General features: G+C 40.1%; 1 long non-coding RNA gene across 1 annotated transcript, besides 1 other annotated feature; it reads right to left on the reverse strand.

The window, feature by feature from the left end:
* Positions 1-534: 534 nt before the first annotated feature.
* SIRLNT (SIRT1 regulating lncRNA tumor promoter) lies at positions 535-10,725 on the reverse strand. Its single transcript, NR_156738.1, has 3 exons — positions 10,640-10,725; positions 1,236-1,315; positions 535-1,031 (listed from the first exon to the last, which is right to left on the reverse strand). It is a non-coding gene; the product is annotated as an SIRT1 regulating lncRNA tumor promoter (long non-coding RNA).
* Positions 4,063-4,586: an enhancer, noted in NCBI's record as "NANOG hESC enhancer chr8:40194220-40194743 (GRCh37/hg19 assembly coordinates)". NCBI's record gives its function as "activates a minimal SCP1, AML or CMV promoter by ChIP-STARR-seq in primed H9 embryonic stem cells {active_cell/tissue: H9 hESC(primed)}" and the evidence as "EXISTENCE:reporter gene assay evidence [ECO:0000049][PMID:30033119]".
* Positions 10,726-13,008: the final 2,283 nt, after the last annotated feature.

Genomic DNA, 13,008 nt, shown 5'->3' on the forward strand with positions numbered 1-13,008 from the left:
CATGAATGCTCATGTAACCCTGGGAATCCAAAGTTGTTCATTTATCTATCTTTAGTAGGATATAAACTCTGGATTTTTTCATTTATTTTTTATTTTATCTTTCTTTTTTTTTTTTTTTTTTTTTTTTGAGATGGCATCTTGCTCTGTCACCCAGGCTGGAGTGCAGTGGCGCGATCTCGGCTCGCTGCAAGCTCTGCCTCCCGGGTTCATGCCATTCTCCTGCCTCAGCCTCACTAGTAGCTGGGACTACAGGTGCCTGCCACCACGTCCAGCTAATTTTTTGTATTTTTAGTAGAGACAGGGTTTCACCGTGTTAGCCAGGATGGTTTCGATCTCCTGACCTCATGATCTGCCTGCCTCGGCCTCCCAGAGTGCTGGGATTACAGGAGTGAGCCACGTGCCCGGCCTGGACTATTTAAATATCCAGTAGTGATGTTGGATCTGATGAATTCCTATACTTTTTCTCTAGCTCCTTTGGCCCAAAATTTAGGCCCATGATGTCTTATAAAGGTATTTCCGGAGTACACAGCATGGTTGAACATCTACATTTCTTTTTAATTAATTAATTAATTGGCAATATGTAAAAATCAGGGAATTTTACAGAAAATCCAGATCAATCGCTGTGGCTGAAATGGTGTCGCAACTCCATTTGACTGGAATGCGACACCAGTCGCATTGACTGGAAATGAGAAGCAGTCACTCTCTTTAGCAGGTTCACGCTCTCCTGCTTGGTACAGGGCCTGGTTTCACCATCCTTGCCTCCACTCCTCAAGTGCCTTCAGTCATTTAAGTTTGTGTCCCCAATTTTAGGACACAGGCATGCTTTTATAAATATTTTTCTTTTCACCACAAGACAAAACATAAGTCAAAGAAGCAGTTATTACATTAAAGTCATTTCTACAAAATTCCTGACAGTATATATTTTTTTAAAAGATCAGCTTAAATCTTTTCTTGTTGAAGTTTCATAATTGCCGTGCTCTTCAAGGTCTCTGCAGAGGATCACTAGCAGCCAGTTCTCTCTGAGGTTTTGCCTTGAGAGGGAAGGAAAAGGAAAGCAGAAAGAAAATTTTCACGAGGAAGAGTTAAGAAGGGACTAAAGTTTGGGAAATGGCATGGAATGACAATGGGAGATGAATGAATGAAGGAGAATAGACAGAGTGTTTCAAAACTGGGTACTTTTGAAAGTTATCCCCTTTTTTTTTTTGAAGTTCAAAATCATAATTCGTAGTTTGTACCTGAAAGAACAGTTTTTTGAAAGCCCAGGGTCAACTCTGCCTTTCTCTTAAAAGCGTCATCAGGAAAGACCAAGTGTACCCTTAAGGGGAAAGAAAATAGCAACAATTAGCATTTGAATGGGCTTCTTAAAGTTTATAGAGCTCTTTTACTTACCTTAACTCATTTGATCCTCACTGCAATCTAGTGAGTAGGTATTATTACCTTTCTATTATAGATAAAGATACCAAGCCTTAAAACTCCGTCTCACTCGCTCCAGGACACTTATCTATTAAGTAGGTAGAAGAATCTAACCACATCCTTTGCTCCTTCCATTCTCCGCAGTAGGTTATTGGCATAAAATTACGATGAATGCATACAGTTAAGCTGCATATTGGACTAGAGCTCATTGAGATTAAGAACACTGGCCGGGAGTGGTGGCTCATGCCTGTAATCCCAGCACTTTGGGAGGCCGAGGCGGGCGGATCACGAGATCAGGAGATCGAGACCATCCTGGCTAACACGGTGAAACTCCGTCTCTACTAAAAATACAAAAAAAAAAAAAAAAAAAATCAGCCGGGCTTTGGCAGATGCCTGTAGTCCTAGCTAGCTACTCTGGAGGCTGAGGCAGGAGAATGGCGTGAACCAGGGAGGTAGAACTTGCAGTGAGCTGAGATCACGCCACTGCCTTCCAGCCTGGGCGACAGAGCGAGACACTGTCTCAAAAAAAAAAAAAAAAAAAGATTAAAAACACTAACTTTTAGCTCTGAATCTCCATAAAAACACTTAGTAAATATGTAATTAATTTAATCTAGATATTACGTCTAACATAATTCTTTTTGTCACTGCAGTTAACTGTACTTAGGGAGGCTTCTATCTATTCTCAGCCCATCTTTGCTTGAAGTTAAGTTTATTTCTTCTATATTTATGCTTATTAAATAAATGATATATGAGTGGAGAACCAATGGCAACTTTGTTGCCTTCTAGTTTTTTGTCCTGTTTCTAATGAGGGTGTGTGTATTGTGTGTGTGTGCATATTGTGTGTGTGTGCATATGTATGGGGTAGAGGGAGATTGAAGCCAAAAATTGAGCTTTATAGATATGCATGCCTTTACCCTTATTAGAATTTGGCCTATAGCTGTTCTTTTCCATGATTAAAGTTCGAAACTACCCTAGCCAGCATGGTGAAACCCCATCTCCACTAAAAATACAAAAATTAGCCAGGCATGGTGGTGGGCACCTGTAATCCCAGCCTCTTGGGAATCTGAGGCAGGAGAATTGCTTGAACCCAGGAGGTGGAGGTTGCAGTGAGCAGAGATCATGCCATTGGACTCCAGCCTTGGGGACAAGAGCGAAACTCCTCAAAAAAACAAAAACAAAAATGAAAGAAATTCTGGGGTAAGATGAAGGATTGTGGAGACTCAAGTTCTTATTTGCAGAGGAAGCCTTCAGGTAGTAGGGCTTCAGGAAGAATAGGTTGTAAAATGTTTCTATTAGACCTAAAGTCTGTGTTGACATTAATCCTGGAGACGTATAATGAGGCATCATATCCAACCCCACTTCCCATCATGACCTGAAACAGTCTTTCAGGTTAAATTTTAAAAGCCCTGGCTTAGGAAGAAGCTCATTCAGATGGTTGGCCGGGGAGTGGGGGGTCTTAGAATTTTATTTGTGGTTTACAGTGAGGAGAGGCCCTTGTCTCCCAACCCTCATTCAATCTGTGTCTTCTATTTCTTCATATGGACAATTAATATTTTCTAATAATTAATAAATTTATGTGCACACAATGGAAATTTCTTAGATCCCATTTCTTCCTAAATTGCCATCCTTAGGGCTCTTCTGTAGAAATTTTGGAGTCTGGATTTTCTGTACTCCCCATATGGAAGCTCAGAGACATATAACTGTGCATCTTCCTATGGCTGCCACCCGGGGCTCCTGAGAAATTACCCCTCTCATACGGCTGTGTCAAGGATCTCATTATAAAACCACACATGGATCTAGAAGTATCCTTAGAAGTTCTGAGTTTGGCAAAATCACATTGTACTTGTGCTGCTCTTTGGGCTTAAATTCTTATCCCTTTCCCACACCTCGTTGATAAAATTGCATAACATTTAGCAAATGTTTACCATGTGCCAAGTGTTTTGCATACGTTGTCTCTAATCCTCATAAAACCCATGCAAAAATATAATTATCCCTGAGTTATAGTGACAGAATTTAGATTCAGAAAGGATGAATAGTTAGTTCCAGAATGGGATTTGACTCCAACTCTGCTGCATTCCCAATCATGTGTTTTTCCTAATATATCATGCTATTGCAGCTTTCTGGTCTTTTTCTGGCTACAATTAACATCTGTGGACCCAAAGCAATTCATCACCAATAAAAAACAGAGCAATCAGCAGATGCTTCTTCCCCAGAATTGAGGTCTATCTAGCTTGCTCACTGACTGTCCTGCCTCAGGCCTCCCTGCCTCTCTCTGTTTTACATGAAGAGACCCAACCTATTCCTGGGCATGGTGCTTGGATCCTCTGCAAGAGCTGGATTCTGGCATTGGCTGTCATGGGTTCATTCTTAACGCACTTTGCATAATGATCAGTATGATCAATAACCAGCAGTTAACAGGAATTTCCTAGGACACTCCATTTCACTCATGTTTCATCACATAGGTCCTCATATAGAAAATGCCAATCTTTTTCCATGCCATTCCAGATTTTTGAACAGGAGTAAACCCTATAAAATTATTTCCTCTGACACTTTACTTTGTAGATGACTAAACCAAGGCTTAGCGAGGTGACATGACTTTATTCACATGTGCTGAGTAGACAGTGGAGGAGGACTAGAATGCAGGTCTCTCAGCTCACCACACAGACCTCTTTCCAGAAACCACACTGAATCCAGAGGACTCCTGTGCAGCTTTTGCCCAGGTGAGTCATCTCTGCCTCTCTCCTAGCCCCCCTGAACCAACAGCCAACATGGCCATGAGATTTTTCCCAGTCTGAGTGGAAAGCCTGATGAATGATGAACGTTGATCCAGAGCCCACTGTCCCTTATCAAACTGGAAGGTACCCTGCTGTCAGACAACCTGGTTAGCAATCCAAACAGCAGGGGTCAGCGGGTCCTGTCAACTAGAGACAGTCGTCCTGCTGGCAAGCTAAGAGCCTGGAGGCAGTTACATTTGTGTATCTTGTCTCAGAAACAAACTTCCAAATGATCTGAAGCCAAAACTTACTGAACTGCAGAGCAAACAGTGCAGGGCTCTAGTTTAGACATTTTCCTTGTCACTGAGAATTTTGAGGTTGGTTTAAAACAAACAAACAAACAAACAAACAAACAAAAACTAGGGGAGCAGGAGTGACGGTAGCTGGAACTCCATTGGAAGAAAGTTGGGTGAGAGAAGAGCCCAGTAGAAGACTTGCTTTTCATCCGTGACTGGGGACTTGGGCTGTATTCAGGTGGACCTCATTTTAACTGCGGGATGCTGGAGAGTCAGGTCACCTCTTCAGGCCATAACTTTTTCAGTGACAGAACGAGGAGCTCAGGCCAAGCCATCACTAAGATCTTTTCAGCTCTTGTGAGATAAACCAGATAAATTAAAAAATTTAGCCATATAACCTAAAATGTATCTGAGACATGTCTCAATCAATTTAGACGTTTATTTTGCCAAGGTTAGGGATCACTTGGCAAGGCCAGTGAGGTTCTGAGCACATACGCCCAAGGTGGTTGGGTTACAGCTTGGTTTTATACATTTTAGGGAGACAGAAGTTACAGACAAACACATCAATTAATATATTTAAGGTATTTATTGGTTTGGCCCAGAAAGGTCAGACATCTAAAAGTAGGTGGGGGAAAGATGGGGGTGGGCATGGGGCTTCCAGGTCATAGGTGGATTAGAAGATTTCCTGATTGGCAATTGGTTGAGTTAAGCTCTGCTTGAAGAATTGAATTCAGTATAAAAAATGCTTGCGTTTAGACAAGGGAGTTGTGGAAGCCAGGGTTCTTGTCATGTAGATGAAGCCTCCAAGTAGCAAGTTTCAGAGAGAAGAGATAGTGAATGTCTCTTATCAGAACTTAAATGTGTCAGATTCTCTGGAAAAGACTTGGTGAAGGAAGGAGATTCTTACAGAATGCAAATTTCCCCCACAAGAGATAATTTGCAGGGCTATTTCAGAATATGTCAAAGAAATATGTTTTGGGGTAAAATACTTTGATTTTCTTCAGGGCCTACCATCTGTCACATGATCCTAAACCAGAGTCAGGTTGGAACTCAGTGTCTTATTGCTACGGAGTCTGTTTTGTTCATTTTAAGATATCTGTTTTAATGTTAATGCTGGTAAGTTGTGTCTAAACTCCAAAAGGAAGAGGCTATAATGCTGTATATTCGCCCCCTGATTCCTGTCATGGCCTGAACTAATTTTTCAGGCTTCTTTGGGGAATCTTTTGCAAAAAGAGGGGTCCATTCAGTTGGCTGGGGAGCTTAGAATTTTATCTTTGGTTTACGACCAGTATCTTCCACCTACATTTCATTTTCACTCACACCCTGCATGTGCCCCTTCAAACCTCCAAACCCTTTGTCCCTTCCTAGCCTCTCTCACCTTCCTGACAAACCTAAACAACTCATCAATATTCTCAGACGCCATACCGTAACATCATCCTTATGTCCCAACAGCTTCGTTAATTCCTGTTATCTGACCAGTTTAGTTACCTATTCCTGAGAAGCTAAGTCTTAGTGGAAAAAAAAAAGATTTGTCTGGGCACGGTGGCTCACGCCTGTAATCCCAGCACTTTGGGATGCCAAGGCGGGTGGATCATGAGGTCAAGAGATCGAGACCTTCCTGGCCAACATGGTGAAACCCCATCTCTACTAAAAGTACAAAAATTAGCTGAGCATGGTGGTGTGCACCCATAGTCCCAGCTATTTGGGAGGCTGAGGCAGGAGAATTCCTTGAAGCCAGGAGGCGAAGGTTGCAGTGAGCCAAGATCACGCCACTTCTGTTCAACATGGTACTGAAAGTTCTAGCCAGACTATTAAGCAGGGAAATAAAGTCATCCAAATTGGAAAGAAAGAAGTAAAATTATTTCTGTTCACTGGTGATATGATCTGATAAGTAGAAAACCCTAAAGACACCACTAAAAATTGCTAGAACTAATAAATTCAGTAAAGTAGCAGGATAAGAAGTCAGTACCCAGAAATCAGTTGCATTTTTATACACTCACAATGATCTAATGTCAATCATGAATCTGTTTTGAAAATGTTAAGTTTGAAATTCTTACCCTATAACCAAGTAATGATGATGATAATTTAAATAAATATACAGCCTATGATTCTAATAAAAGGGTCTGTTTAGAGATGTAGATTTGGGAGTCATTGGGGGATAGCTTATAGTTAAGGCTTTTTGTGTCAAATTATATCAATTTCCTTTCCTTCCATGTAAAATGTAACCTAATTTTCACCCATCCTAACTTTCTTTATACTAGTCTAACAAGCCTTTTTCCTTTCCAGTATCGCATATTTTCACAACCCGTATTTCCTAATGCAGCCTCTATAGCCACATTTAACTCACATCTCATCTTCAATATGTCGACCCTATGTCTAAATTGTTTCTTGTGTCTGATTTTTTATTACAGGTGTAGACATCACTATTTACTGCTTTTCCTTAGCTAAAAAGCTCATTCATCATTGATTCTTTCATTGCTTCCACCTGTGGCATTCAACTGGTTGTCAGCTTTTGCCATATATGGCCTTACAGTGATTCTCATATCTAACCTCCTCTGTTTTTCTCATGACCTCCCAAATCTTAAGCTTGAGTCTGGTGCCTTAGACCACTCAGCCATCCTGACACTTGACCTCTCAAATCTTATTCAGAATTATATAGCTAACAGTTGACTCCACCAGTCTCCCCATTCACCCTAAATTGCAATTCTGCCAGCCTGTGTTCCATTCCAGAAGCATGCCACTTTCCAGGTATTTAAAATTCCCTAGCCTCACATGTGTTTAAATTCCACTGGTACTTCAAGAATTATCTCCAGTATTACCTTTTCTGGGATACCTTCCTTGACTCCAACTCAAAATTAATTTCTGCTATCCACTAATTTTATAGCACTCTGTTTATCTATGTTTGTGTTTGGCATAGCCTGACTTTATATCCTGGTATGCATACCTATGTGTTTCCTTCTCTCTTTGGTGTAAGATCTTTAAGGATATAAATCATTCTTACTCATCATTGTCTCTTCAAGAACCAACAGGGTAACTGGCAACTAGGTATCCATTAAATACTGATCAATTTAAGTTATATATGTGATATGTCTTGGCTGTGTCCCCACCCAGATCTCATCTTGAATTGTAGTTTCCATAATCCCCACATGTTGTGGAAGAAACCAGGTGGAGATAATTGAATCATAGGGGCGGTTTTCCCCATCCTCTTTTCATGACAGTGAGTTAGTTCTCATGAGATCTGATGGTTTTATAGGGGCTTCCCCCTTCGCTAGGCACTCATTCTTCTCCTTCCTGCCACCATGTGAAGAAGTATGTGTTTGCTTCCCCTTCTGCCATGATTGTAAGTTTCCTGAGGCCTCCCCAACCCTGCAGAAATGTGAGTCGATTAAACCTCTTTCCATTATAAATTACCCAGAATCAGGCATGTCCTTATAGTAGCATGAGATCAGACTAACATGATATGTAATTTGGTTTTTTGTAATAGATATTTCCTAAATAATGTGACATTCCCAATTCCTTACTAAATTGTTCTTTCTCATAGTTAAGTAAGGTTTATCCAGCTGGCTCCATGCTTGGAAAGAAAACACAAATCCTGGCCAGAAGCCCCTTTAGTGTCTAGAATAGCTTGATTGACGTACCATTCCACCATCTATGAGAAAAGTGGGCTCTCTCTTTTACTTTGAAGAGGTGTCTTATCAAAAACATTTCTGAGGGATTACCCATCAACTTCAGAACCTTTTATTATTTCCTCTGTGGACTGATTCCAAATTATCCCCCCAACAATTTTCTTGTAGACTTTTCACCTGATAGTCACTAGGTATTCTACAGTCACCCTCACTATGAGAAGAATAAGTGCTGAAAGTAAGACAGAGGTCACACTCCCAGAAGTAAGGACTTATTCATGCAATAGGCATTGTGATTAAGTGCTCATTGTATATAGAGTAGAATACTAAATGCTGTGGAGGATCACAGGAGAAATAAAAGATGAAGGCTCTGTCTTCATTTATTTTACAAAATGAATTTGTAGGGGAGACAAAGACAACATAGATTAAAAACTTGAGAATGACAGTGTATTAGCAAATTATGAAATGTACTTATAATGTAAGTAATGCGAAGGATGGTATTTGAAAACTGGATCCCATCTCAAGGTGATTTGTTCTTTTTTCTTATGTCTTATGCTATGCCCATTTGTCTGCCTGTCCCAGTGCTTCTCCCTTTTACCAACATCAAGTTTATTTTAGATTCTTCCAGAAGACTTCTTTGGCTATTCCAGCCAACAGTTGTGCTCCACTTTTCAACACTATAGCATTTATTGTCTATTACTCTCAGTTGGCTGACATCACATAATTCCTTATTATCTTATCCATATGCCAGTAAGAATTGTCACTGTATACTGAGGTCCTATTGTGAGGGCAACTATGCGTTAAGCATGGCACACGGATTATTTCATGTAAATGCCGCAAGACCCTATGAGGTATAATTGTTTTGACTGTTATTTTACAAATGGAGAAACAAAACTATTTAATATACCCCAAACTCCATAGATTTGAATTCCGGTCAATCTAAATCCTAAAAACATACCCTAAATGTATTTCTCTGGAATAGTTCTTGGCATTTTTTGGTGGTAAGGGAGCATGTCACTCATCCCACTGAAAATTTAATAAGTTTAATTGCCATTTCTCTCAACATATGATTGCATCTTTTGGGTATAAGAAACCCAGAATAAACTCAACTAAAATCAAAAGGAAATAAGTAATAAAGATGAAGACAGAAATAAATGAAATAGAAAACAGATGCTATAGAGTAGGTAAACAAAGACAAAAGTTGGGTCTTCAAAATTTGAAAAACAAACACATGTACACACACAAAAAACCCTGGATAAATTGATTAAGAAAACAAGTAAATAAAGCACAAATTAAGAATGTTTGAAATATAAAGGAGGATGAAACTATAAAAATTTAGAAGAAACATCAGAAATTTAAAAGAAAACTAAGCATACTGTAAATAATAATTTAAGTAAATGATTTTGAACATAAATAAAATGCACACATCCATAGGAAAAAAATCTAGGCCCAGCATCATGGTTCATACCTGTAATTCCAGCCCTTTGGAAAGCTGAGGTGAGAGGCTTGCTTGAGCCCAGGAGTTCAAGACCAGCCTGGGCAATATAGGGAGACCCCATGTCTACAAATAATTTAAAAAATTAGCCACATGTGGTAGTGCCTGTAGTCTCAGCTACATGGGAGGCTGAGGTGGGAGGATTGCTTGAACCTGGGAGGTCAAGGCTGCAGTGAGCTGTGATTGCATCACTGCATACAAGCCTAAGTGACACAGCAAGACCCTGTCTCAAAAAAAAAAAATTAAAAATCTAATCAAAATTGACTCAAGAAGGAATAATGATTCTATAATCACTACATATATTGAACCCTGAATTTAAAAAATTTCCACTAAGAAAACATCACAGTATCTAACCAGTGTGGTCAAATGTCATCTTTAAGGAATGTATTCCTATCCTATAAAATTCTTCCAGAGGAAAGGATGTAATCCTCCCAAACTTATTTTATGACGCTATTACTGTCATAATGTAAACCACAGAAGCATAGTCCAAAGGAGAGAAAGTGAGAGGCCAATTTCACTCAAGAATACAGGTTCAAATGTCCTAAACAAAACACTAGCAAAGCTGATCCAGCAATGTTTAAAAGAAATGCATCATGTCCGAGTTGGTCATGATGTCAATTGATTTGACATTAGAAAATCTATCTGTATAAATTCTTGCATTAATATATTAAAAAAGAAGAACAGTGTAACTCAATTGAAGCCAAAAAATTAAATGTCATAGCCATTCATGATTAAAAAAAAGATCACTAAATCCAGATTAGAAAGAAACTTCCTTAATCTGATAAAGTTTCAATTAAAAAAACACTACAACAAAGATCATATTTAATTTTGTAATGATTAAAACATTTCCTTTTAAAAAAAGAATAAAATGCAAGAATGTCTAGCAGCACTTCTGTTCAGCATGATGTCTCATCACCCACATGAAAACCCAGTTCCCTGGGCTCTCACGGACCTACCCAATCTCATTCTTGGGTCCTTTCAGTCTTTCTCTATGACCCTTCCCAATTTTTCCCTGAGCAATATCCTAAATAATCCACTGGCATCAGTTCTAACTTAGTGTATCTGCTAGGCAGGTCAGGAAGGACTGCTCAGACTCACCAGAAGATGATTTCTTCATCCCTAAGTGCCAACTCTCTAGACTTGTTTGGAAGTCTCCCAACATGGCGTGTGGTTTCAGTCACCACTCTGTACCTCTGCCTGTGCCATCTCCTTCACCTCCTGCCTTCTCTCCTCCCTTCTGCATCATGAATCTGCCACTTCCTTCTAAAATGCAATTGGGAAGGTGATCTCCTGAGTGACTGCGTCAATGACTGTGGGGGCAGTTCCCAAAGGCAGGGAGGAGCAAGCTCTCTGGTGACTCTTTTTTTTGAGACAGTCTTGCCCTGTTGCCCAGGCTGAAGTGCAGTGGTGCGATCTCAGCTCACTGAAACCTCCACCTCCTGGGTTCAAGTGATTCTCCTGCTTCAGTCTCCTGAGTAGCTGGAATTACAGGCAACTGCTACCATGCCCAGCTGATTTTTTGTATTTTTAGTAGAGATGGGTTTTCACCATGTTGGCCAGGCTGGTCTTGAGCCCTGAACCTCAGGGGATCCACCCACCTTGGCCTCCCAAAGTGTTAGGATTATAGGCGTGAGCCACCACCCCCAGCTGACTCTTCTGACAATGGCACTAATCCTAGCTGACTTATGCTTCACCCTCATGATGTCATCTAACTGTAATTTCCTCCCTAAAGTCCCACTCCCAAATGTAATTTGACTGTTAACTGAAGAATCACTTCATAAGTGCACAGCCTCCCAGAGTGACTGAAGGATAGCAAGTATTTGGTTGCTTTTTTTCTGGCATGTTTATTTTTGAAATAATCCATCATTTCCTCAAAGCCATTTCCAATTATACACACAAATAAATTTATCTTTTTTTCTTAATGACCACAGTACTTTATCTGTGCCTGACTGACAACCCTGACTACTTTTTATCTTTTATTATAAATTTTTGTCTGTAAATCTTATCTCTCCTGTTAAGCAGTAAGCCCTCTATCTAATCTACCTTTATATATCTCAAATAATCTTAACAAATATATCAGTCTCCCATGAAAGAAATGAATGAAAATGAATAAAACAATAGATAACATATCAGATACTTAGTATGTTCTCTGCATTATGATAAGCACTTTGCATGTATTATTTAATATATACATGCAAAGCATTCTAAATGGATTCCATTAGTAACCCCACTACACAAATGAAGAAACAGAGACTGAGAGGTTTTAAAAAAATACCAATATGTCCAAAGTCACATGACTGTAACGATCAAAACCAGTTTTGCATCTGGGGCTATCACACAGCCAGTAAGCTTCACTTCTGTGCTCTTAAGCCTCCCTACAAACAGCCCTGTAAGAGACAGCAATGAATATAGGAAAGCCTCTGGTTTGGCAATCAACTCTTGCCTTCTTAGTCTGCTTAGGCTACCATAACAAAATACCATAGATTAGGTGTCTTAAACAACAGAAATTTATCTCTTACAATTCTTGAGACTGGGAAGAAAGTCCAAGATCAAGGTACTAGCCAAATAGCTTTCATTCTGGGGCCTCTTCTTTCGACTTGTAGGCAACCATCATCTCTCTGTGCACTCATGTGACTTCTTCTCTGTGCATGTGGGGCTGGTGGGGGTGGTGGGAGGAGCAAACTCTCTGGTGACCCTTCTTATAAGGGCACGAATCCTAGTTGACTTGGGCTTCACCCTTATATGTCATTTAACTGTAATTTCCTCCCCAAACCCCACCTCCAAATACCATTACATTAGACTTTGAAGCTTCAACAAATAAATTTTGGGATTTTGAGGGGACACAAACATTCAGTCAATAACCCCCCTTTCTTTTTTTATTTTTTTTTTGAGACAAAGTCTCATTCTGTTGCCCAGGCTGGAGTGCAGTGGTGGGATCTCTGCTCACTGCAACCTCTGCATCCTGGGTTCAAGCGATTGTCCTGCCTCAGCCTCCCAAGTAGCTGGGATTGCAGGTGCCTGCCACCATGCATGGCTAATTTTGTGTGTGTGTGTGTTTTTAGTAGAGACAAGGTTTTACCATGTTGGCCAGGCTGGTTTCAAACTCCTGACCTCAGGTGATCCACCCACCTTTTTTTAAACCATCAACATTTACTTTCTTACAGTTCTGGAGGCTGGAAATCCCAGATCAAGGTGTCAGCAGGTCAGGTTTCTCCGGAGACCTCTCTCTTTGGTTTGCATACAGCCATCTTCTCACTGTGTCCTCACAAAGCCTTTTCTCTGTGCATGCTCACCCCTGGGCCTATAACACTTGTAATTAAAATAAACAAATAAACAAACAAACAAAAACCTGAATGTTTAACCCAGTTCTTCCTGCTGAGAAAACGCAGGAAATCATTTGCCTCTCAGCCTTAGTCTTCTAAACTGTAAAATAAGAGATGTTATAGGTGGGTTTGAAGGTTGCTTTT

Source organism: Homo sapiens, chromosome 8, assembly GCF_000001405.40.
Source record: "Homo sapiens chromosome 8, GRCh38.p14 Primary Assembly".
In the NCBI taxonomy this organism is placed as follows: domain Eukaryota; kingdom Metazoa; phylum Chordata; class Mammalia; order Primates; family Hominidae; genus Homo; species Homo sapiens.